Here is a 27454-nt window from a genome sequence, read left to right as displayed (position 1 = left end):
TATCCATCCATTTATCCATCCATCCATCCATCCATCCATGTATCCATCCATTCAATCATGTATTTATCCATCCATTTATCCATCCATCCATCCATTCATCCATCCATTGATTCATCTGTTCATCCATCCATCCATGTACCCATCCATTCATTCATGTATTCATCCATCCATTTATCCATCCATCCATTTACCATCCATCCATCCAACCATACATACATTCATCCATCCATCTATCCGTCCATGTATTCATCTATCCATCCATGTATCCATCCATTCATTAATGTATTCATCCATCCATCCATTCCATTCCATTCCACAAATGCAGACTAAATGCCAACCCTGAGTTAGGCATGGGCTAGAAGGTGAGAATACAAAGAGGAAAACATGGGGTACCTGCCCTCAAGAAGCTCACAGTACAAGTTGGTACAGCTTCTTAGACACAGCTATGAGCAATTATACTACAAGTAGAAACTGGTGAGTATCTGAAGACAGGCCCAAGGAGTTCGGAGGAAAGATAATTCTTGCTGAGAGTTTTGGGAGAAATCTGCATGGAAAAGATACATCTGAGCAGGGATTGAGAAGACACATTCATACATAAAGGGAGGGCATTCCAAGGATGAAGAACAGCATAAAAAAAGGTGTGAGGCCAGAAAGTGCTGAATATATAAAGGAAATGCTATGAAAATCAACTGATGAGTAATGATTCTCAATTTACTACATATACCACTTCCCAAGCCTTGTCCTGGAGAATTGAATCAGAAGTTCTGAAGGTTTGACTGAGGCATCTGTATTATTTTTAAAGTTCCCCAGATAACTGGGTAATGCTAAGGATCAGCCAAAGTCAAGAACCACTGACCTAGAGTATAAGGTCAAGGCAGGGGGCAGACAGGAGACTTAAGAGGAGATCAGTCAGGCTGGTCTTTGGCTGGCATCTTACATTAACACGACGTATCCTTATTCATAAACATTCTATAAGTGAAGTTGGGTGGCCTTTCTCCAAAGGTTATGGGGACCCATGGACGATGAAAAGCAAAGGAGTGATAGGATCAAAGGTGGGCTTTGGAATGATGAATCAGGCAGTGGGTGATAAGACCAAGGAGGACATTTTCACCTGGTCCTGTTAACCCTACTATTTGGGTTCTAAAGACATCAGGACTGCTGCACGCCCAAGTCCTATATCCTTGTTCCTAGAGATAAATACAAGCCACCAGTTTTTTATCAAATTCATAAATATTACTAGTAGAAACAGTAAATGCAAAATCAAACTCATATTGGTTACAACTTCACATGACAAACATTGTTACTGATTAAACCACAAACTGACTTTAAAAAATCACATCTTAGACTGGGCACAGTGGCTCATGCCTGTAATCCCAGCATTTTGAGAGGCCGAGGCAAGCAGATCATTTGAGGTCAGTAGCTCAAGACCAGCCTGGCCAACATGGTGAAACCCTGTCTGTACTAAAACTACAAAAACTAGCTGGGCATGGTGGTGCATGCCTGTAATCCCAGCTACTTGGGAGGCTGAGGCAGGAGAATCACTTGAACCTAAGAGATGGAGGTTGCAGTGAGCCAAAACTGAGCCACTGCACTCCAACCTGGATGACAGAGTGAGACGCTGTCTCAAAAAAAAAAAAAAAAAAAAATTACATTTTGTTGGCAACGTGAACATGAAAAATCTTAACCCAGGAAAAATTAGATTTGGTAGAACTAAGTAACCCAGACTAATGCTGTCGGTGTCCAGAACTGCATTTGGTAAAATTTGTCAAGGAACAAAAATTGACAGAAGATCAAAATCTTTTAGACAAAATTTAGATCTACAGAATCTAAACCTGGAAAAACTGGACTTGCTACTTAAAAATGGCCTTAGGCCAGGTGCAGTGGCTCACGCCTGTAATCCCAGCACTTTGGGAGGCTGAGGCAGGTGGATCACCTCAGATTGGGAGTTTGAGACCAGCCTGACCAACGTGGAGAAACCCTGTCTCTACTAAAGATACAAAATTAGCTGGGCGTGGTGGCGCATGCCTGTAATCCCAGCTACTCAGGAGACTGAGGTAGGAGAATCGCTTGAACCCGGGAGGCAGAGGCTGTGGTGAGCTGTGATCGTGCCATTGCACTCCAGCCTGGGCAACAAGAGCGAAACTCCATCTCAAAAAATGAATGAATGAATGAATAAATAAATAAAAAACAACAACAACAAAAAACCGGCCTTAAAGGAATACTGAAAATGGTGAAAACTATAATTGATAAAATTAGATTAAAATAGTGCAGATAATCAGTGAATCAAATCTGCAGTAAAGTTTTGGTGAAAAGTCATCAATTCTGATAATCTCAGTAAAATAGAAATAAAAGTGTAAAAATCAGAAGTGGTGCAAACATGGCCGGGCATGGTGGCTCATGCCTATAATCCCAGCAGCTGGGAGCCTTCTTCAAGACTAGCCTGGGCAACATGGCAAAACACCATCTCTATACAAAAATAAAAACTTAGCCGGGCATAATAGGTGCACACCTGTAGTCCCAGCTACTTGGGAGGCTGGGGTGGGAGGATCAATTGAGCCCAGAAGGTTGAGGCTGTGGTGAGCTATGATTGTGCCACTGCACTCCAACCTGGGTGACATAGCAAGACCCTGTCTCAAGAAAAATAAAAAAAATAAGAAAAAAAAATGACCAAAAAAAAAAACAAAGAAGTGGTGCAAACATCTCATATAAAAAACTAATCGACTTCACGGAGTTAGATCTCCAAAAGATTTTCTGGATAACAATTCATCACTGTTGATGTAATTTTAATTAAAGTGTTTGGATTTATGAGCGTCAAGTCTTAACCTTGTTGGCTACGTAGCAGGGTCAAAACAGTGTGGATCTAGATGTCTTACAGGGATTGAATTAGGAAGAGGTGGGATAATGGGAAGGTGATCCAAGGAAGAGATGGTGAAAGATTAAGTTCAAGTAAGGGCTTGAAGCCTCAAACTGAGAGTCCATGGCCCAGGTAAGGTCTACAGATAGGTATGCGCATTTCACCACAACTTCAGGTCATAGAAACCGTCATATATATCCCTAATCTAAACCACACCAACCAAATTCCATTGACTTAATGATTCAGCACTCAGCATCCACTCCCAGTGAAGGGATATATATCTGAACTTACCCCCTGGTCATCTTTGGGGTCTCAGAAGAGCCATAATCATGACCATTCTCAGCATCTGAATAATCAGGTTCTCTCCAAGTGCTTGGCAAGTTCTGATTGTCCTCAGCACTGGGATAGTCTGGCTCCCCAAAAAAGGGTGGAGAGTTAGGTTGAATGTCAGCGCCTGGATAATCAGGCTTTCCCAGAGAGTCTGCGTATGGATTGATTCTAAAACTTGTATGTTCCAGATTCTTTCTGGATCCTGGATGGTTCAAATTGGCTCTGGGTCCAGGATGATCAGAGTTGCTCTGAGCTCCAGGGTAGTCCGGTTCTAAGGAGCCAAAATGATCTGGATGTGTTCTGGAGCCTGCATAGTTTCCACTGCTGCTGGAGCCTGCAAAATCAGGATTTCGTTGAGATCCAGGGTAGTCTGGTTGTCTGGATGATGCTCGGTGGTAGGGATGACTCTGAAATTCACTATAATCTGGCTCTGGTAGAGAGGTAGGATGGTCTGGGCTTGTTCTAGAGGCTGCAGAGTATGCATTGCTTCTGGTGCCAGAATAGTCTGGATTACTCAGAGATCTAGGATAATTTGGTTCTGCCAGAGACCCAGGATAGTCTGGACGTGTTCTGGAGGCTACAGAGTATGGATTGCTCCTGGTGCCGGGGTAGTCTGGATTGTTCAGAGGACCTGGAACATCTGGATAACCTTGAGTTTTCAAATACCCCTGCGTACGGTTCTGAGACCCTGAATAGTCAGGGTAATCTGGGTCTTCCTCAGACCAGTTATTCCTGTAGTAGGCAGACATGTTGGTATGGACTCTTCACCCTGGAGTGGTAAACTGTCCCAGCATTTGCAATTACTCAGGGATCTTTTTTTTTTTTCACCTGAAAAACAAGAAGAAAAGAAAAAGTCAGATTTTTTTCCCTTTCTTCCCTGCAGAGATTGCTGGTTATCTTCCAGTATCTGTTCTCCTTTCGTTCGTAGTCAGGTACACAACTGCCTAGAATAAAGACTATGTTTCTAGATTCTCTTGCACCAAGGTATGAACATGAGGATGGTCAATGGGATGAGAGCAGCAGTGATACCCACAACTTCCCAGCTGTGCTGTTAGAGGAAAGAGGTTATTTCTCCCTTTCTCCATCTTGCTTCCTCTGGGCTGGAATGCGGAAATGACGGTGCACCATCTTGGGTCATGCACACAAAGCCAAGACCTGCATTTGGGATAAATGCACAACAGAGGAAAGGATGCTGGGTTGCTGGTGACTTCACAGAGCACAGCCATTGTATCAGCTAAGACTATTATGTGAGAGAGAAATAAAATTATCTTGTTTAAACCACTGTTTTTGTGGTCTTTAACACATGCAACTAAGCTTTCATCTTGAACAATATATTCCCTTGGTTATGGGGGAGGGGACCAGTGAACCAAAGGATTGAAAGAAACAAGGACTTTTTGTGCTTTTTGATTACACTTGAGGTTCTAGGGTTCAAAGCATAAATTAATATAAGTGCATAAAAGAAGAATGGTTAATGGAAACTAGAGGACTAGGGTAAGTAGACAATTGCTATGACCCCTTCCAGTTTGAAAATAAGATTTTATGAGCTCCACCAGCTCTGATCCACAGACCACAGGATACTTTTGTCAAATTTAGCCCAAAGCTACCTCCTAACATATTTTAAGTTTGGCCTAAAGATTTCTCTGTACATAATGAACTGTGACCTAACTAAGAGGTGTCAACAGACTATAACCTACTCTTGTACCAATCACTGAATTTTGGCCAATCACAGGCAACCAATTGTTCAAACTGTGTTCAAATAAGGCAAATGCTGAGCTGTAACCAATCCATTGCTCCTGAACCTCACTTCCATTTTTTCTATGTCATCTCCCTTTTCTTGTCCATAAATCTTCTTTGACCCAGCATGTGGCAGCACCTAAGTCCCTCAGAACCTATTCTGGCTGGGGAGGCTGTCCCATTAGCAAATCATTCTTTGTTTGATTAAACCCTGTTACCTCTAGTTTGTCTAAAGTTTTTCTTTTAACACTTTGAAATAAGAGGTGATGCAGTTTTAATTTTCTTTTCTTTTCGTTTTTCTTTTTTTGAGATGGAGTCTCACTCTGTAGCCTAAGCTGGAGTGCAGTGGTGCAATCTCGGCCCACTGCAACCTCCGCCTCCTAGGTTCAAGCAATTCTCCTGCCTCAGCCTCCTGAGTAGCTGGGATTACAGGCGTGCACCATCATGTCCAGCTAATTTTTGTATTTTTAGTAGAGACAGGGTTTCACTATGTTGGCCAGGCTGGTCTCAAACTCCTGACCTCAGGTGATCCACCCGTCTCGGCCTCCCAAAATGCTTGGATTATAGGCATGAGTCACCATGCTTGGTTGAGTTTTCTTTCTTTCTTTCTTTCTTTCTCTTTCTTTCTTTTTCTTTTCTTTCTTCTTTTTTTTTTTTTTTTTTGACAGGGTGTCACTCTGTCACCCAGGCTGTAGTACAATGGTACAATCATAGCTCACTGCAGCCTCGATCTCTTGGGACTCAAGCGATCCTCCCATCTCAGCCTCCTGAGTAGCTAGGACCACAAGCATGCATCTTGTGGTCCTAATTTTTTCATTTTCTGTAGAGATGGGGTCTCCCTATGTTGTTGCCCAGGCTGATCTTGAACTCCTGAGCTCAAGTGATCCTCCTGCCTCAGCCTCCCAAAGTGCTGGGATTACAGGCGTAAGCCACTGCACCTGGCCTCCAGTTTTCATTTCTAAGTGTGTTGGATACCTGTTGTTTTTACTTGCCTACTCTCCCTCGCTCTTGGTCCAGGTGATTCAGGAAGGGCTGACTGTACTCCTGACTGGCTGGTCAGGATGGTCACATGACTCAGGTGTCCACCATCCCCCTGGCCACAGAGTTTGGCTCAAGAATGGGCATGTAAACCCAGTCAGTCCTCCAGGACCAGGACAAGGCTTACTGGGAAAGAGGTGCTCTTATTTCACTGGGGTGGCTAAGGGGATAGAATATATACATAAGCCTGGAGCTTCCAATGTCATGTCAGAGGGAATAGAGAAAAAGAGTAATTAGTAGGGCAGAAAATTTAAAGAAAGAATCAATAGGATTTGTTGGCTGATCCAGTAGGGAAAGGATGAGAAGGAAAATAAAAGTCAAGCATATCTCTACAGTTTCAAGCCAGCATGATGAGATGAACGGCAATATTTTTGAAATAAGGAAGTAGAACATTTTTAAAGCTCAGCCAACTTTTACAAGTTTATCTCTATGTAAATGACAAGGGTTAGACTTGAGTAATCAGAGCTACGATAATATTAACTTTCTGCCAACACCTACAGTCTCAGAATGTCCGTGTGCCAACCCACATCCAAATTTCTCAGCATAGTTGACATCTGTGTTTCATTATTGTGTCCCTGCACAGCATCCATTTCTCGCTTTTGTGGTTAACACTTTTCCCTGGGTAACACCTCTCCCACACAGTCAGTCCCTGTGGGCCAGGTGTGGAATATGACCCATCAGAATTATTTTCTTCCTGGAGACAGTGATTCTGTCAGAGCATACAACCCAGTTAAAGCCAGTGAGATTCAATTCTGGGAGTTTTATCAGAACTGTAGGGAAGAGAGAAGCTCTGCCTTCTGCCGGCCTTGGAGCTAGGAAATTTTACTTTATTTTATTTTTTGAGACAGGGTCTCACTCTGCCGTCCAGGCTAGAGTGCAGTGGCATGATCACAGCTCGATGCAACCTCGACCTCCCAAGCGTAGGTGAGCCTCCTCCCTCAGCATTCTGAGTAGCTGGGACTACAGGTGTGCACCACTATGCCTGGTTAATTTTTGTATTTTTATAGAGACAGGGTTTCTCTATGTTGCCCAGGCTGGTTTCAAACTCCTGAGCTCAAGCAATCTGATCTCGGCCTCCCAAAGTGCTAGGATTACAGGTGTTAGCCACTGCAACCGGCCAAAGTTAGGAAATTTTAAACCTGAAGCTGCCAGTGGTCACCAGTAGAGAAGGGCCTAAGAGTGATGCTAACAGGGAGGAGAACAGAACCAAGAGATAAACAGAAAGAGGAGCCAGATGTTGATGACATTGTCAGATGTTGATGACATCATTTAAACACCTGAATCCAGCCAAACCTGAAGGCAGCTGGATACTTGAGTCATTACATTCTCTTTTTGACTAAAGCTGGTTTGAGTTGGGTGTCTGTCATTTGCAAATGAAAAAAAAGAATTCTGACAAATATGCCAGTTTTGCAAATAAGAACACCTATATAAACTGTCTGTAGTGCTAAGAAGACTAAATGCTGTGCTTCATTGCAAATTACTTTTCCTAACAAGAAAAATTATCGCATTTGTTTACTTGTATTCTAAGACTAGAAAGTTACATTTATGCTCCAGAAACTTCCATAGCCTAACAAAGCCCAAAGCTATTACATCTAACCAGCTGAACGATGCCTAGTAAATTCAAGAAATTGAAAACAGATACAGCTGTATTGGCCCAAAATAAATGAGTATTTCTACCAAAAGATAAGAAAAATGTTCACGGAAACTGTTTTTCTTTTTCTTTTTCCTTTCTTTTTTTTTTTCTTTTTGAGACGAACTTTTGCTCTTTCACCCAGGCTGGAGTTAAGTGACGCCATCTTGGCTCACCACAACTTCCGCACCCCCATCCCCGGGTTCAAGCAATTCTCTGCCTCAGCCTCCCGAGGAGCTGGGATTACAGGTGCCCGCCACCATGCCCTGCTAATTTTTGCATTTTTAGTAGAGAGGGGGTTTCCTCATGTTGGCCAGACTGGTCTCGAACTCCTGACCTCAGGTGAAACACCTACCTCGGCCTCCCAAAGTGCTAGGATTACAGACGTGAGCCACCGTGCCTGGCCAGAAACTATTTTTCATAAGAGTCAAAAGTTGAAAACAACTTGAATGTCATTCAACGGTGGAATAAGTGAATGAATTGTGGCATATTCATCCCATGAAATACTACAGAGAGGCAACAAAGACTGAACTTCTGCTGCACGCAGCGTCATGGATGAATGTCACAGATGCAAGGATGAGGAAAAAGAGTTGGACACAACAGAGTTCATACTGCATAATGTTTTTACAAAGTTCAAAAGCAGGCAAAGTAATACATGGTGACAGAAGTCAAAATAGTGGCTACCTTGAGGAAGGAAAGAGGTGAGTGATGACTAGGAATTGCAGGAGGGAATCTCTGGGTTGCTGGCTGATGATCTTGAGCGGTGGTTAAAGGGAGGCATGTGTGTGTGTGTGTGTGTGTATGTAAAAATCCATCAGGTTGCACACTTAAGAGTTGTGCACATCTCTGTAAATACATATTTCTAAATTTTTTTCTTTTTTTTTTGAGGCAGAGTCTCACTCTGCGCCCAGGCTGGAGTCCAGTGGCGTGATCTTGGCTCACTGCAACCTCTGCCTCCCGGGTTCACGCCATTCTTCTGCCTCAGCCTCCCGAGTAGCTGGGACTACAGGTGCCCGCCACCATGCCCGGCTAATTTTTTTTTTTTTTTTTGTATTTTTAGTAGAGATGGGGTTTCACCATGTTAGCCAGGATGGTCTCAATCTCCTGACCTCATGATCCACCCGCCTTGGCGTCCCAAAGTGCTGGGATTACAGGTGTGAGCCACTGCGCCTGGCCTATACTCCTAAATTTTAAAAAGAAAATGAGAAATCAGAAGCTGTAACATAAAACCTTCCGATTCTCCCAGGAGCCATTATACCAGTTGAAAAAAGCGGTAGGGTTTTGGCTCACAAATATTTCCAATTTTCTTATACATAAATCAAAGAAAATCGGAACCAATGAAAACAAAACCTACGTGAAGACAGGTCTTCTAGGTGAATATACGTTACCTGAATGGAATCATCTGTCTATGTGATGCTGTGAAATGAAAGTGGTTGGGAACCCAGCCCTTGGTGTCAGAACTGGGCTTACTTTCCGTTTGCTGGCTGTGTGGACTTGGGCAAGTCACTTAACCCCTCTGAGTCTGTTTCCTCAACCATACAATACTGACAATAATATCTCATAGGATTGTTGTAAGGAATGAACAAGATAAGGCACAGAAGGTGGCCAACATCAAGGAAGCAGTCACTGAATGGAAGCTATTATGTGATATTATATTTATTTATGTACAATGTAAACCCTGGCAACTTCCAAAAGAGATAGGAGTGAGTACACAGTAAAAGTCACACACTCAACCAGGACATGATTAAAGAAATAGGAAATGGGCCAGGCATGATGGCTCACATCTGTAATTCCAGCACTTTGGGAGACCAAGGCAGGAGGATTCCTTGAGGCCAGGAGTTTGAGACCAGCCTGGGCAACATAGCAAGACCCCCATCTCTCTCTCTCTCTATATCTATCTATCTATCTATCTATCTATCTATAGATATAGATATATAATAGATATATATGATATATACATATTATATATAGATATATATGATATATATATTATATCTATATTATATATAGATCTATATTATATATATAATATAGATCATATAATATATATTATATATAGATCTATATTATATATATAATATAGATCATATAATATATATTATATATAGATCTATATATATTATAGATATATATATTTTAGATAGATATATATTATATATATAGATATATATACTATAGATATATAGATATATATATTATATATCTAATAGATCTATATATCATATATAGATCTATATATTATAGATATATATATTTTAGATATATAGATATATATATAATATATATATTATAGATATATATATATTATATATAATATATATAGATTTATATTATATATATTATATATATAATATATAGATTTATATATATATTATATATATAATATATATATATATAAATTAGCTGGGCATGGTAGTACATGCCTGTAATCTCAGCTACTCAGGAGGCTAGGCGGGAGGATCGCTTGAGCCAAGAAGGCTGAGGTTGCAGTGAGCTATGACCGCACCATTGTACTCCAGCCTGGGCAACAGAATGAGACCCTGTCTCAAAAAAAAAGAAAGAAAGAAATAGGAAATGTCTTATAATCAGGTAGAGGAAGGAGCAATCCTGCAAAATTCCCAGGCCAACATAGTGACTGTAACTGAGAACTAAATTTTGCCCTGAGCTTCTTATTAGCCAAGACTAAAAGGGAATCATGACAAGTTATCTAATACTCACTATGTGTGGCAATAAAAAGGAAGTATACCAGTTTTTCAAGAGGACTACACTTCCTCCCAAGATCAATTTCTGAAAATAATTTATCATGAGAACTCTTTCAAAGGGATCGAATAACAATGTAATGAAAGCCAGGACTCAGGGTCACCAGCAAACAAAGCACTCAGAAGCTCTAACTCCAAGAGGGGCTGCAGGAGTGGAGTTGGGGAGAGACTCTGGAGTCCCCTCCAGGTCATTGTGCTGCAGGAAGACAATCGCATATGGCTATCTTTGGCCAGTGGGCTGTGAGCATAAGTGACTGTGTCACTTCCAAGAGAAAGCATTCAAAAGCCAAAATGAGACCCTCTAGCTCCCCTTCCACTGCCATGGGAACCAGTGATATTCCCAAAGGGGACCCAGTCACCAGCCCGGGTTCCTGCATGACTGCATGGCTCACAGCCCACCTGCACCTACCCACAGTAGCTTTTCATGAGCAAGAAACAAACCTTTATGTTTTAAGACATTTAGATTTTGAGATAGTGTTATTTTGATGCAGCAGAGTTTAGACTAGCCTGACTGATACAAATCATTTTGGTCTTTGTTTTGAATCTTTGACAAATTTATATATATGTATGTATGTATATAACTTCATATTGTATGCGTATATGTGTATTATATGTGTATATTATATGTATATACACACAAAGATATCCATACAATTTATGTATATATTTATTCATATCTACATATATAATAGATCTACACATATAATATACATTATATATACACATTCATAGAACACACATACAAAAACACACATAGATTAGATAGACAGATAAATAGACAGATGGGTAGATAGATGATAGATAGATAGAAAGATGGATGTTATATGTGATCAGCCAACAATTAGCTTCAAGTCTGTTGGACAGTTCTCTGTTCCATTGCCATTTGACAAGAGCTTGTGTATTGCACATCTGTTTCACAGTTGGGAACAAATGCTGTAACCATACCACCTGCACTGCAACAAATACCTAAACAAACAAAGAGCTAAACCCACAGAAAAGGATTGGGAAAGAGAGAGGAGGAAATGGCCATAAGGAAATAGTCTCTCACACTGATGTCACATGAAGTGGGAGTGGCCTTCTGAGAACCTTACCCTTAGCTTCCTGTTAACTATTAGAGGAGTAAATGAGGTATGCTGCAGGTTCAAAGGAATGATACTGTTTCCTGTTGCCTTGGAAAAAGCACAAAGAGGGTACTATCCTACTTTCTTTCTTCCTGGTTTTTCTCTAGCACCTCCTCAATAAGGGCTATTGAACCATCTATTTCAATTCCTCCTTTCCATATCCCATTTAGGGTTTCTCACTTCACCATTTGAATGGTTTTCAATCACATGCCCAAGCAATGACATGTCTTCTAAGGCTGTTAATTGAGGACTCCTTACTTGATGTTGCAAGGCTTCCTGGTTCGAATGGGTCATCTAAGTATCTTGTGTTTGTCATTCAGCTAATTCAGAAATCTTCTAGGGATCAATTACATCCTAGAATATGGATGAGGTCACAGTCAAGCTATTTACCTGGCTCTCTGCCGCCTCCCACTTCTCCCCGCCTCAAGCTAACATAAGGCCAGGCCAGCCACCCACGAGTTCTGTTCTGCACCACCAAAATGATCTCACGAAACCCAGACACTCAGCCAGAATTGCTAAGGATTGTCAGGCCAAGCTTTGTGTATAATGACAAAAAACTGGGAGCAATTCAAAAATTCATCAACAGGGGATGGGCTGAATCAGTCACAGGACATCTGCACAGTGGAATACCATGGAACCGTCACAAAGAATGCTTTAGATCTACAGGTGCCAGCAGAAGATGGCCAGCTGTGATTCTTATCTTTAATCTCCTTTTCCCATCTCCTGCCCTGGGCCTGGCTAGAACATGTGATCATGAAGCCTGTGAATTGTCCAAAGGTTAATTTTTCTAATTGAGGCCATTTATTACCTGAAAGACAGGAAAGAGAAACCAGGGCCTTACAAAACAGCAAATTGACCAGCACCAAGAGCAGGAAGTTGCCCCGAGAGAGGCAAAACAAGGCCACAAAGTCCAATTTCAGCCGTACATTTTGTCTTCTTCTTCTTCTTTTTTTTTTTTTTTCTGAGATGGAAGGTCCCTCCTGTTGCCCAGGCTGGAGTGCAATGGCACGATCTCGGCTCACAGCAACCTCCGCCTCCTGGGTTCAAGCGAGTCTCCTGCCTCAGCCTCCCAAGTAGCTGGGATTACAGGCACCTGCCACCATGCCCAGCTAATTTTTTGTATTTTTAGTAGAGACGGGGTTTCAGTATGTTGGCCAGGCTGCTACCGAAGTCCTGACCTCAGGCAATCCACCCACCTTGGCCTCCCAAAGTGCTGGGATTACAGGTGTGAGCCACCGCGCCCGGCCCCCACGTTTTATCTTCTAACGGGGTGAACTTTGTCATGAAAACCCATGATTAACCTCTTAACATAAATGAAATCAATGTTCTATATGCTAGTGATGATCCTGTAAATAATGTAAGATCCCTACATACTTAAGACCCACAGTTAAAATTATGAAAATGATTCTACAGAAGTTTTTAACTAGTTCCAATGAACCATCATTTATTTGACTTAAAACAGACCAAATAATTTTTAAAAAATTGTTTTTGTTGTGGCGCGTGCCTGTAATCTCAGGTACTCAGGAGGCTGAGGCAGGAGAATTGCTTGAACCAGGGAGTGGGAGGTTGCAGTGAGCTGAGACCGTGCCACTGCACTCCAGCCTGGCGACAGAGCGAGATTCAGTCTCAAAAAAAAAAAAAAAAATTGTTTTTATTGCAGAGAGTGGAGAGAAGGAAAGAAATTAGTCCCAATAAAATTCTGTTTTGCCATCTAAGGATATTAAAGGCAATGGCAGCTATCACAATTGACTATCACCATTATCTCATAAAACATTTTATGGACTTAAAAAAAAGAGAGGGAGACCCCATCTCAAAAAGAAGGGTAGTTTATTTAACCGAATAAATTCAGCTGTATGAAAACTTACTTTTTTGCCCTTATTGTTCTTGCTTTGTCCCAAGTAGATGCAAATGTTGTGCAAACCAACTTGATCTTAAGATGTTGTTGAGAACACTGGAGTCACGTGTCCATGGGTCCTTCAGGCTGGCTTTTGATGGGAGCTGGGATGCAGATGATTTACGGAGGGTTATAATCTGTGATGCTGGTCTGAAGTCTGAATATTCCAAGTTGCTGACTGCAGGCAGAGCCTCATGTCCTGAAAATCAGAAGACAGAGGACTTAAACTTCCATAAAAGATGGGCTCATACTGTACAACCCAATCCTGTGCATTTGGAAGCAGAAAACACTGCCTCAAATGGCTTCCTGTTTTCTCTTCTCTTAAAAACTTGAAACATTAGACTACAGTGAAGCATAGAGAAGAAAAGGTCAAATATTAACTCATACTAATCTTTTTCATATGAATTCCAGACTTGCATTTGTTTTCTTAAGGAAATAAAACATTTCTGGTGAAGCTCTCTAATACCTCTTCCTAATCCAATTTTCCAGTGTCCTCTTCCCTGTCTGGAAGGTGCCACTATCGTAAATGTGGTGTGTGACTTTCCAGGGCATATGCTGTTCATACCGTGACCACTGTTATGAGTTGAGTTGCATCCCCTCAAAAAGGTATGTTCAAGTCCCAGTCCGCAGTACTTCAGAATGTGACCTGATTTCTAAGTAGGATCTCGGTGGAGGTAATCAAGTTAAAATAAGTTCACTGGGGTGGGACCTAATGCAACATGACTGGTGTCCTTATAAAAAGGGGAACTTTGGGCCAGGCACAGTGATTCCCGCCGTAATCCCAGTACTTTGGGAGGCCGAGGCAGGTGGATCACCTGAGGTCAGGAGTTCAAGACTGGCTAATTCTAAAAATTCTTGAAAGGCTATGAAAAAGAATTTAAAAAAGAAGAAATCGCTCATTCCCAGGCACCTCATTTCAACCAAAGTTTCACATTAGCGGTTCTGGAAGCTCCCATTCTTTTTGCAGGCACCTGATCTTGGACAGACAACTCCAACACAAGGATGATGGCCCCCACACATGGACGAGTGGTTGCCAGAGCACCAGGTCATGGGACGCTCACACACAGGCACATTTCAGCAGAGACATTGATTTCGTTTGCTTGCCTGCTCTTGATTGCTCTTTCTGGGAATGTGTATTAGTGTAATGATTACTTTGGCTGTCAGCCTCGATGCCATGACAAATAAATGCCAGGAACTCCTTTATCTGCAGTGTGTAATGTTTAGGACCAGGAAATAAAGGTAATGTCAATAGTCTCTAAATAGCAAGTGAGAGCAATAGCTTCCATCACTCAATTAACAAAGCCTTCCTGTAAATAAACATTTGTTAGTATTGAGATCCATGTTGGCTTTTCAGAGTGTCAGGCACATTCACAGCCATACACTTAGACTCCTTGGAGCCTAAGAAAATGAGGCCTATGCTTAGAAAATAAGGTCTGTGGTTTCAAGACAGCAAGATCAAACCTATGAATAGGAAAATAAAAATACTGGTCGGGCATGGTGGCTCATGCCTGTAATCCCAGCACTTTGGGAGGCTGAGATGGGCAGATCACTTGAGGCCAGGAATTGGAGACCAGCCTGACTAACATGGCGAAAACCCATCTCTACTAAAAATAAGAAAATGAGCCAGGCGTGGTGGCTCGCACCTGTAATCCCAACTACTTGGGAGGCTGAGGCACAGGAATTGCTTGAACCTGGAAGGCGGAGGTTGCAGTAAGCCGAGATCATGCCACTGCACTCCAGCCTGGGCAACAGAGAGAGACTCTGTCTCAAGAAAACAAAACAAAACAAAACAAAAAAGGAAAATATAAATACAGCAAAATAGTCATCCTCTTGTCCTTTTTGTTTGTTTGTTTTCCCTTCTTTAAGGAATTTACTAAGTTTTCAAGATATTTATTCAATTCTCAAGGAAAGGTAAGGTAAAGAGAATGTAAGATTTTTAGCTTGTTAAATGAGTGAGAAAGAGTCAGAAGCTAGAAAAAGAAAAATGAATTTTAATCGCTTGAAAGTCATCACCTAAACATGGCAAAAAATCCTTCAAGGAAATGGTCTAAGGTATAGTGTTTACTACTGAAGTAACAAATGCGTCTTATAACACTGAATTAACATGAGTTCTAATGTATTTTTTAAATGAGAATTGGGGCTGAGTGAGGTGGCTCAAGCTTGTAATCGCAGTACTTTCAGAGTCTAAGCCAGCGCAATCGTTTGAGGCTGGGAGTTCGAGGCTGCAATGAGCTATGATCATGCCACTGTACTCCAGCCTGGGCAACAGAGCAAGATGCTGTCTCAAAAAAAAAAAAAAAAAAGAATTGGGAAATTTGAGAAGAAAGAGTTGGCAAATGTCACCAATTAATCTTCACAAGTCACCAATTAATCTTCACAAGTAAAATTTGTTTTTAAAAAAGCTAGAATGAGAAGATTATTTTATTTTACATGGATGTTTGAAGCCTATCAAATCTCTTTCCGCTAGCTAAGATTCCTCCTCTTTTACCACGATCCTTTCTTGGAAGGAAGTTCATGGACTAAACCCCTCCCAGCAGTTTTACCCTAACTATAACTCTAAGCCCACTTGATTAATGCTACTTTGTAACAAGACTTTCCTTCTCCTAAGACAGTCCCCAAGGTGGGTGAAGCTCACAGGCCTTAGATGTAAAGCTGGTCGATGCAATTGAATCGCAGTACAATGTTTGCATTCAGGGGCTGATGTTCTGTTTGAAGTACGCAGTGTGCGGCTGGCTTTCATTCTATTTAAGAAAGAGAGTGGCAGAAACTATGGATCTAGAGCAGTGGTTCTCAAGTGGGGGCGACTTTGCCTCTGAGAGCACATTTGGCAATGTGTGGAGACATTTTGGTTTGTCACAACTGTAGCAGGGGGTGTGACATTGGCATCTAGTAGGTAGCTGTTAAACATCCTAAAATGTACAAGACTGGCCTCCCCACAATAGAAAATTATTTGGCCCCAAATGCCAAGAGTGCCAAAGTTGACAAAACTTGATCTAGGGCAAGGCTGTCCAACAGAACTTTCTATGCCGATGGAATGGTTCTCTACATGCATGTCCAATATGGCAGCCACTAGCCACATGTAGCTATGGAACACTTCAAATATGGCCAGCTCGGGAACTAGATTGAGAAACTAAATTGTTTATTTATTTTTCTTCTTTCAGAGACAGGGTCTCGTTTTGTCACTCAGGCTGGTGTGCAGTGGCACGATGATAGCTCACTGCAGCCTCGAACTCCTGGACTCAAGTGATTCCTGCGTCTCAGCCTCTTGAGTAGCTGGGATTATAGGTGTGAGCTACTGTGCCCAACTATTAAATTTAATTTTAATTAACTTTAATTCACCATGTTGCCCAGGCTGGTCTTGAACTCTTGGCCTCAAGTGATCCGCTGGCCTTGGCCTCCCAAAGTGCTGGGATTACAGGTGTGAGCCATTGTGCCCAGCCGGAACTCCAACATTTAAAACATTATTGATGAGGGTGCATCTGACAACATCAAGCTTGGGTGCCCATGAAAGTCACCTGGGAGCCTGCTGGAGAGGGGGGCACATGGATCCTCAGGTGACCAGCTTGTCCCAGTGTGCCCAGGACTTCCCCAGTTTTGGCACTAGAAGTTCTGTGCTAAAACCCCATCAGTCCCAGGAAGACCACCCCAGCCCAGGTCCCATTCCCAGAAGTTTTCATTCACTAAACCTCAAGTGGGACCTGGGAATTTAGCTTTTTATCGGGTTTCCCAAGTGATTCCTTTATGCGCCAAAGTTTAAGAATCACTGCAGATCAGCCAGCGAGGAGCAGGGAGAGAGGAGGGAAGAAAAAAGTTGATTTGTTACCATCACAGAGAAGGTGAGCATTTAAAAAAGAAAAGAGAAGCAATAAAAAATGTTTTAAGATGATTAAATTGCTTTTTAAAGCAAAACAAAACAAAAAGTGGGTTTGTGGGTTACTTGTGCTTCAGCAGTTTCCCCCTTCTTGCTTGGCTGGATGGCTGGATCCCAACCCAGAAGAAGGAGGACGCCCGTCTCTGGGACAGATGGAGACAAGTCAAGGTGCACATCCTGGCTCTTGCACCCACTGAGATCTACTAGGAGTGGGCTCCTCTGCTATCCAACAAGAAAGGATGCTGCTTACTGGAGACCCGTAGGCTACAGAAACCTGTCCTCTTCCCTTCCCCACTGTCAGTGTGCTCAGAATCCTGCCAGGAACAGTGAAAAATGATAAAGTTTAATGCTCCCTTTGGCTAGGGATCCTCCCTATTCTCTACCACCGGGTCTGGGAAAGGTGGCAGGAGGCAATGAAGCTGGGGTGACTTTTATGCACCCTGCATGTATGGGTCTGCATCAAGTCTCCCTCTTTTAGAGGAAAAAGAACCTCCTTCTGGATCCACCTTGGAGGTCAGAAGCGTAGCTCTTTATAAGACTAATTCGGATTCTTATAATAGTCCTATAATGCTTAGTTAAACAAGTATTATATAACACAACCCAAGTATTATTGCTTGGATTTGCAGACAGCAAAACACAAATAGAAATCAATGATAACAAAACAACTTATATATCAGTGCCAGGCACTGTTCTAAGATCTGGACAGGCATTAACCCATTTAAATCTTACCATAGCCTTAGAAATAGGTGCTATTGGCTGGGTGCGGTGGCTCACGCCTGTAATCCCAGCAATTTGGGAGGCCAAGGCGGGTGGATTGCCTGAGGTCAGGAGTTTGAGATCAGCCTGGCCAACATGGTGAAACCCTGTCATCACTAAAAATACAAAAATGAGCTGAGCGTGGTGGTGCATGCCTGTAATCCCAGCTACTTGGGAGGCTGAGGTGGGAGAATCACTTGAACCTGGAAGGCAGAGGTTGCAGTAAGCTGAGATCACGCCACTGCACTCCAGCCTGGATGACAGAGTGAGACTCTATCTCAATAAATAAAAAAATAAATTGCTTGAGGAAAAGCTAAAGCAAGATGAAGAAGGTATTTGAGAGAAAGGGAGAAATGATATTCAAGAGACAATGGAAAGAAATCCCAGGATAACAGCTGTGCGCCAGCTCTAGAAAGCAGTCGGTCCAAATTATACCACCCAACAAAGAGAATGAGTAAGAACTGGGGTGATCTCAGAGACACAGTAAAGCTGTGTATATTTTCTCTGTCAACAACAAAAAAACAAAGACAAATAGAAACTCCAAAACAAGCAATCCTCTAAAAGCTGTAAAGAAAGTCAGAACCAGATATGAATAAACTAAACTCTGGCCTGTCTGTGAGCAGTCAAGGGTGCACAGGAAAAAAAAAAAAAAAAAAAGCAAACTCAACTCACCTGGACCAATGGCTCAGATTAAGTGACATAAAGTGACATAGAATTAGATGTCCCTTTCTAGGAAGTCAACTTCTCTAATGCACACATAACCACAGCTTTGAAGCCAGGTAGTTTTCATCTTTTATAATCTACTTGTGATATTGTGATTTGTGATAAGAAATATATCTTTGGTCTTTATTCCAGGTTTCCGGCACAGGCTCCTAAAACGTTGGAATTTCTTAGGTGATGGGAGTGTCTTTTGTTCTAGTATTTGGTCTTTGGTTCCGGTTCCTAAAACAGAGCTCCTAATCCCTTGGAAATTCCTGGGTTACGGGAATGTCTTTTGTTCCAATGAGGCAGCTTTCAACAGGGGTTCCTGGATGGAGGCTGCTCACCAGAAAGACCAAGCCAGGGTTAGAAGCTTGCAACTTTCGGCCTTGCCCCTCATCCTCCAGGAACGAAAGAAGGACTGGAGATTGATTTAATAATCAATGGAACCTCCATAAAAACCCTCAATGAAGAGATTGGAGATCTTTCAGGTTGAACACATCCACATTCTTAGAGAGTGACACACCCCAACTCACTGGGACAGAAGCTCCTGAACTTGGGACTCTTCTGGAACTTACCCTGTGTACTTCTTTACCTGGCTATTCACCTGTATCCTTTATCATATTCTTTTTTTTTAAGACAGAGTTTCACTCTTGTCACCCAGGCTGAAGGGCAATGGCGCCATCTCGGCTCACTGCAACCTCTGCCTCCCAGGTTGAAGTGGTTCTCCTGTCTCAGCCTCCCTAGTAGCTGGGATTACAGGGGTCCGCCACCGTGCCCGTCTAATTTTCGTATTTTTTGTAGACGGGTTTCTGCCATGTTGCCCAGGCTGGTCTCGAACTCCTGACCTCAGGTGATCCACCCGCCTTGGCCTCCCAAAGGGCTGGGATTACAGGCATGAGCCACCACTCCCAGCATATCATATTCTTTATAATATGATACGGTTTACGGGTAATATGATATGGTTACCATAATATGATATGGTTTATAGGTTTACAGGTAAACCTAAGTAAAGATTTCCCTGAGTTGTGTGAGCCATTCTAGAAAATAACTGAACCTGTGGAAAAGTCACAAAAACTTCTACTTTACAGCCAGCTGGTCAGAAGTTCCCAAGGCCAGGACTTGAAATTGATATCTAAAGTTGGGAGGCAGTCTTGTGGCGCTGAGCCCTTAACCTGTGGGTTCTGACACTAACTCCAGTCACATTATGTTAGAATTCAATAAAACTGTGGTGGCAGGTGTGGTGGCTAACACTTGTAATCCCAGCACTTTGGGAGGCTGAGGTGGGCAGAACACCTGAGGTCAGGAGTTTGAGACAAGCCTGGCCGACATGTCAAAACCCTGTCTCTACTAAAAATAAAAAACAATTAACCAGGTGTGGTGGCACATGCCTGTAGTTCCAGCTACTCAGGAGGCTGAGGCAGGAGAATCGCTTCAACCTGGGAGGTGGAGATTGCAGTGAGCCAAGATGGCACCACTGCACTCCAGCCTGGGTAACAGAGAAAGATTCTGTCTCAAAATAATAATAATAATAATAACAATAAAATTGTGGGGCACCCAGCTGGTGTTGGAGACTTGGTCAGTGTGGACCTCTCAACCCCCGCCAATATCTGATCACAGAAGTGTTCTTTGTTGAAAGTACAGTGGGAAAAAACTTTTTTCCTAGTATTCAACCTACAATGCAAGAAACATATAATTGTAGTTTATAAGACACAAAACGCAAGCTTATAAACCACAATATGTAAAAAATAATTTTTAGAAGTGGGGAAATGCAGGGGGTAGAACTTTATTAGGGGAAAATGTTGAGGTGCTAAATTCCTTCTCTTATGAAGTGGAGAGTCAGCGACGCTGTCCAAGTTTAAGGAACTGTAAGTACATCATCATTGGCAGTGGTTCTCAACTGAGAGTGATTTTGCCCTCAAGGGACACTGAGCAAAGTCTGGCAAACTTTTGGTTGTCACAACTGCAGTGAGTGTGCTACTGGTATCTAGTGGGTGGAGGCCAGGGATGCTGTTAACCATCCTCTAATGCACAAGACAGCCCCCACAGCCAAGAATGATCTGGTCCAATGTGTCAGTCATACAAAAGTTGAGATATCTTGATTTATCGCTATGAAGGAAACAACAAATTATAAACAATGAAACAAAATTGGGAGAGAAAAGAATGGGAGAAGGAAGAGAAAGGAGAAGGGGTAAGTGCAGCGGTGCAACCACAGTTCACTGGAGCCTCTAACTGCTGGGCTCCATCGATCCTCCTGCCTCAGCCTCGTGAGTAGCTGGCAACACAGGCACATGCCACCACGACTGGCTGAATTTTTATTTTTTAATTAATTAACATCCAGACTGAGTCTCGCTCTGTGGCCCAGGCTGGAGTGCAATGGCTCAATCTCAGCTCACTGCAACCTCCACCTCCCAGGTTCAAGCAATTCTCCTGCCTCAGCCTCCCAAGCAGCTGGGATTACAGGTGCCCACCACTACGCCCAGCTAATTTTTTTGTAGTTTTATTAGAGATGGGGTTTCACCATGTTGGCCAGGCCTGACCTCATGATCCACCCACCTCGGCCCCCCAAAGTGCTGGGATGACAGGGGTGAGCCACTGGGCCCGGCCTATTTTTAAATTTTTTTTGTAGAGACATTGTTGCACCCAGGCTGATTTCTAATGCCTGGGCTCAAGAGATCCTCCCACCTTGGCCTCCCGAAGTGCTTGGGCTACAACAGACGTGAGCCACCATACCCAGCTGCTTACAATGTTTTGAAAATAAAAAATGTGATTTCCAAATAAAAAAGATAAATTAAGTAAGTACTTAAAAATGCAAACATATGATTATGGAGGTTCTCGAGCAATCCAGGTCCCTAAGTAAACGGAGACACCTGGAAAGTGGTTTGGAAGCAGGGCATTGGAGTTTCCTTTGAAATACAGTATCCTAAATGTCCCTCTTTTCACCCCATTCAGGGAAGCAGAAAAGCAAATTCTTTCTCTCTCTCTTTTCCCCCCCTTTAAATATCTTTGAGTCATAGCAAATTCTGTCTTCTCTCTCTCTCTCTTTTTTTTTTTTGAAATGGAGTCTAGCTCTGTTGCCCGGGCTGGAGTATAGTGGTGTGATCTTGGCTCACTGCAACCTCCACCTCCCAGGTTCAAGCAATTCTCCTGCCTCAGCCTCCTGAGCAGTTGGGACTACAGGCATGTGCCACCATGCCCAGCTAATTTTTTTGTATTTTTAATAGAGACGGGGTTTCACCATGTTGGCCAGGATGGTCTTGATCTCCTGACCTCGTGATCCGCCCACCTCGGCCTTCCAAAGTACTGGGATTACAGGCGTGAGCCACCGCGCCCGGCCCTCTCTCTCTCTTTTTTAAGAGATGGAGTCTCACTCTGTTATCCAGGCCAGAGTGCAGTGATGCAACCTCCTAGGCCCAAGCCATCCTCCTGCCTCAGCCTCCTGAGTAGCTGTGACTATAGGTGTATGCCAACCACACCTGGCTCAAATTTTCTTTTTTCAACTCTGATTTGTTCCACATTCACCTCTTGAATTCTGCTACCTTTTCTCCCATGCTGGGTAAGTATGACATCAAGCTTGGGAAGTTTCTAGATTCAATGCTGTTTGCAGCAGGGCCAGGACTAGGGTGAGGGAGTAAGATAAGTGCTGAGCTGAGGTGCAAATTTAAAGGGGGCCAAAAATCCCAGTAATCAAGTGTATCGTCCATTTTCATACCTGAGACTAGGTAATTTATAAAGAAAAAGAGGTTTAATGGACTCACAGTTCCACATGGCTGGGGAGGTCTCACAATCATGGCAGAAGGCAAAGGAGGAGCAAAGGCACATCTTACATGGCGGCAGGCAAGAGCGTGTGTGCAGGGGAACTGCCCTTTATAAAACCGTCAGATCTCGTGTTCCCATGAGAACAGCATGGGAAAAACCCACCCCTATGACTCAATTACCTCCCACAGCGTCCCTCTCATGACATGTGGGGATTATGGGAGCTATAATTCAAGATGAGATTTGGGTGGGGACACACCATATCATCAAAATAAATAATATTTTAACATGATACTTTTAAAAATAAAAATAAGTGCAAAAAACCCATGATGAAAAAAAAATCAACATGTTCAAAACAGACAGGATCACAATTACTGCTTTGTGCTTTTGGCTCCAGCTCTGATCTTTCTCAGTGCCACACTGACTGACAGACACAACCTTGCGATCCAGGTGTCCATGAGTCTCATACTGCCAGGTCCTGTTATCTCACCTCAGGAATGACAATTCTTGGGGTGACCTAAACCATTTTCTTGGAGATCTCCACTCACCTCCTCTCATTTTAAGTCCTTTCCTCTGATCGTGTAATTTATAACTCAAGTCTCTGACACAGGATAAAATTCCATTTCTCCTTTGGAAAGCCACTATTTTGCTTTGGATGTGGGTGCTAACACATCAAAGGCTGGGAACTGTAACTATGGGCTTCCAATTCTTCTGGTGAATTCTAAACACAGGACTGTCTTTTTTTCTTTTAAATTATACCTATGTTCAGACAGGCGAGATGGCTCAATCCTGTAATCCTGGGGCTTTGGGAGGCTGAGGCAGGAGGATTGCTTGAAACCAGGAGTTGGAGACCAGCTTAGGTGACATAGCAAGACCCTGGCTCTACAAAAAATTTTAAAAATTAGCTGAGCACAGTGGCATGCAGCCGTTAGTCCCAGCTACCCAGGAGGCTGAGCCTGGATGATGACTTGAAACAAGGGAGTTGAGGCTGCAGTGCACTATGATCATGCCACTGCACTCCAGCCTGGGGGACAGAGTGAAACTCTGTCTCTACAGAAAATTTTAAAATTAGTTGATTTTTAATTTTTTTTATTTTTTTTTTTGAGACGGAGTCTTGCTCTGTTGCCAGGCTGGAGTGCAGTGGCATGATCTCAGCTCACTGCAACCTCCGCCACGTGGGTTCCAGTGATTCCCTTGCTTCAGCCTCTCCAGTAGCTGAGACTACAGGTGTGTGCCACCATGCCTGGCTAATTTTTTTTTGTGTTTTAGTAGAGACAGGGTTTCACCATGTTGGCCAGGATGGTCTTGATCTCCTAATCTCGTGATCTGCCCTCCTTGGCCTCCCAAAGTGCTGGGATTACAGACGTGACCCACCACACCTGGCCTAAAATTAGTTGATTTTTAATCATTAATGGTGGTGCACGCCTGTAGTCCCAGCTACTTAGGAGGCTAAGGCAGGAGGATCACTCAAGCCCAGAAGTTCAAGGCTGCAATGAGCTATGATCACACCACTACACTCCCTATAAATATTCCTTTCCCTATGAATGCCTTCGCAGAAATGACCATAACTGATGATTAGCATTCTAGCTGCTGTGATTTATCTCTGGGAATGATGAACGTTGGGTGACTAGAAATAACCTGAGCAATAATAGCGTCACCTCCTGCCACGTCATCCCGAAAAATCTTGGCAAATATGATTCATTGCGTTATTCATTAAGTGTTTATGAAGATACTCTATAGCTTGAACTTGACCCTGTCTTCTGGGGACAGGACCTTTTCTGGCAAAGTATGACAATAAACCCTACTTTTAACATTAGTGGCCCGGCGCGGTGGCTCACGCCTGTAATCCCAGCACTTTGGGAGGCCGAGGCGGATGGATCACGAGGTCAGGAGATTCAGACCATCCTGGCTAACACGGTGAAACCCCGTCTCTCCTAAAAATACAAAAAATTAGCCGGGCATGGTGGCAGGCGCCCGTAGTCCCAGCTACTCCGGAGGCTGAGGCAGGAGAATGGCGTGAACCTGGGAGGCGGAGCTTGCAATGCGCCGAGATCGCACCACTGCACTCCAGCCTGAGCGACAGAGCAAGACACTGTCTCAAAAAAAAAAAAAAAAAAAAAAAAAAAACCAACACATTCATTTCCACTGAGCTTCTTTTCCCCTCTCTAGTGTAGAAAGAATCTAGTCAAACAATAACAATAATAATAAGTTAATAATAATAACAACAACAGTAATAAGCATGAAGACAGCACTATTTATTGAGTGCTGACATGCATGCCAGGCACAGGGCTATGCCCTTCACATGTATCAGCAACTGAATGCTCAAACAACTTTATGGGGAGGTATTATTATCCCCATTTTATGATTACATTGAGACCCAGAGAGGTTAAGTAACTCACTCAAGGTCACACAGCTAAACAGAGGCAGAATGGGATTCAAACCCATACCTCTCTGATTGCATACGCTGGGCTTGGATCATCATCATCAACAACATCATTGTTGGCAGTGCATGGTGGCTCATGCCTGTAATGCCAGCACTTTGGCAGGCTGAGGCAGAAGGATCGCTTGAGCTTAGGAGTTTGAGACCATCCTAGGCAATATAGTCAGACCTTGTCTCTACTAAAAATCATAAAAGGTAGGCGGGCATGGTGGCATGTGCCTATAGTCTCAGCTACTCAGAAGGCTGAAGCAGGAGGATTGCTTGAGCCCAGGAGATCAAGGCTGCAGTGAGCTATGATTTCACCACTGTACTCCAGCCTGGGCAACAGAGTGAGATATTGTCTCGAAAAAAAAAAAAAAAAACACAAAAATCACTTATCAGAGGAAGAAGAGAAGGATGAGAAAAATGAGAAGGATGAGAAGAATGAGAAAAATGAGAAGTTATTGTTTCTTGAACACCATAAAGAAGTAAATAGATTTTTTTTTAAATCTCAGAAAATGAAATACCATTGGGAGAGACCACCTGAATTCACTCATCCAACAAAGCATTCTTCTAGAACATGATGCTCCAGGAGACACCCCCAGACATAGAGGTCACATTTATTGCGTGTTTGTCGTGCACCGTATTTTATTAGCTCTGATATCCACCTGTGGAAGTGGGAGCTTTTGGCATACTACCCATTCTACAGACAAGGAAACCAAGGCCAGAAACATACAATAACTGACCCAGAATCCCACAGTTAGACCTGGGGAAGCCCAGATTCCAACTCAAGCAGATAACCCTAGGGCTTGTTCTCATAATCAACACTCTCTTGCCTCCCATTTCCCCTGGTCATTCTTTCCTCTAACAAACATCTGTTGTGCCTCAATTCTGTACCCTCGTCTGGCAATAAGCAATACGACAGCCTCAGTTTCCGTCCTCCTTCGCTGACACGTTCCCAAGCATTCCGCATTATTCCCATGACCTCCCACCCCTCCTTCAAAGCACTTTCACTTACCTGCCCTCAGTTCTACAGGAAAATCCAGACAAACTTCCCCTCCACTTTGTAGTTCAAAGCTAGAGGGACAGGCAACAGGTCCTCTTTTTTTCTTAACTAACCGGTAAGGCCCATCTTTTTCTGCCTCTCTGCCGTGTCGCCTTAAAGACTGCTCCTTGCTATCTTGGTCACACGTCTGGGCGGGAAGCCACGAAGATCACGGGAAGGGGGTTGTTTACTGAGCTCATTGCCGTTTTATGCCGCCCTGGCTATCATCTCTTTCCTCATCAACCAATGAGTAACCAGGTCTCACCTGGTGAAAATGCAAATCAGTCTTCCACCTCTACCATCACAGCTGCACCTATGGCCTCTGTCTACTGAGTCCGCGACGATGAAGGCCTAACTCAGGTCCCAAGTTGTGCATTTCCTTCTTCCTAAGCCCTAACTCCTCCCTCTCATTAATATTCTTTTGTTATCAGCTCAATGAAAATATCAAAGTCCTTTCTAGAGGTTATTTTATTTCTTGGACACCATAAGGAAGTAAATAGATTCGTTTTGTGTTTTTTTTTTAACCCTAGAGTGTGAGGTGGTGTGGGAAGAGACTACCTGAATTCATTAATCCAACAAAGAATGGAACGTGATGCTCCACTAGACACCCCCGGGCACTGGCTCCTTTTTTTTTTTTTTTTTTTTTTGAGACAGCGTTGCCCTCTGTCACCTCGGCTGGAGTGCAGTGCCACAATCTCAGCTCACTGCAACCTCCGCCTCCTGGACTCAAGGGATCCTCCTGCCTCAGCCTCCCAAGCAGCTGGGACCACAGGTGCAAGCCATCATGCCTGACTAATTTTTGTATTTTTTGAAGAGCTGGGGTTCTGTCGTGTTGCCCAGGCTGGTCTTGAACTCCTGAGCTCAAGTGATCCACCCATCTCGGTCTCCAAAACTGCTGAGATTACAGGCGTAAGCCACTGCACCTGGCCTGGACACGTTTTTCTTTTCTTCTTTTTTTTTTTTTTTTTTTTGAAGACTGAGTCTTGCTCTGTCGCCCAGGCTGGAGTGCAATGGCGCCATCTGGGCTCACTGCAACCTCCGCCTCCCAGGTTCAAGTGATTCTCCTGCCTCAGCCTCCCGAGTAGCTGGGATTACAGGTGTCTGCCACTACACCTGGCTAATTTTTGTATTTTTAGTAGAGATGGGGTTTCACCATGTTGGCCAGGCTGGTCTTGAACTCCTGACCTCAGGTAATCCACCTGTCTCGGCCTGCCAAAATGCTGGGATTACAGGCATGAGCCACTGCATCTGGCCGCCTGGCCACATTTTTCTATAGATACATCCCCTTTGGCAACATGCGGACCATACAGGTTTAACTCTGTAGTTATGATCACCAATGGCATGTCCCTTCTGGAAACAAAGGACAGGCAGTATAAAACCAGCCCACATTTCAAGACAGTTGACTCGAATTCAAATGCTGACTCTGGCACTCTAAGACTGTAATGTCTCAACTCCTCTGAGCCTCAATTTCCTCCCCATTAACCTACAAAGTGGGAACTATATACACTCCCTCCTCCTAGTGTTGATAAGGGCTACATCAGTTAACAT

General features: G+C 43.1%; 1 protein-coding gene across 4 annotated transcripts in view; it reads right to left on the bottom strand.

Moving 5' to 3' along the window:
• Window positions 1–27454, bottom strand: part of TMC5 (transmembrane channel like 5) — an 88575-nt gene that overhangs the window by 55142 nt on the left and 5979 nt on the right. For 3 of the 4 annotated variants that reach the window (NM_001308161.1, NM_001105248.1, NM_001105249.1), the window contains exons 2-3: window positions 13332–13559; window positions 3146–4012 (exon numbers count right to left, since the gene is read on the bottom strand). In NM_001308161.1, the coding sequence (NP_001295090.1) occupies window positions 3146–3933 (788 nt within the window). In that variant the 5' untranslated portion in view covers window positions 3934–4012; window positions 13332–13559. Of the gene's footprint in view, window positions 1–3145; window positions 4013–13331; window positions 13560–25879; window positions 26090–27454 lie in introns of those variants that run through there. The other variant, NM_001261841.2, reaches the window with a different exon arrangement.

Source organism: Homo sapiens, chromosome 16, assembly GCF_000001405.40.
Source record: "Homo sapiens chromosome 16, GRCh38.p14 Primary Assembly".
NCBI lineage: Eukaryota > Metazoa > Chordata > Mammalia > Primates > Hominidae > Homo > Homo sapiens.
The sequence above is the reverse complement of the archived record's forward strand: the minus strand, read 5'-3'. Positions and strand labels throughout refer to the sequence as shown.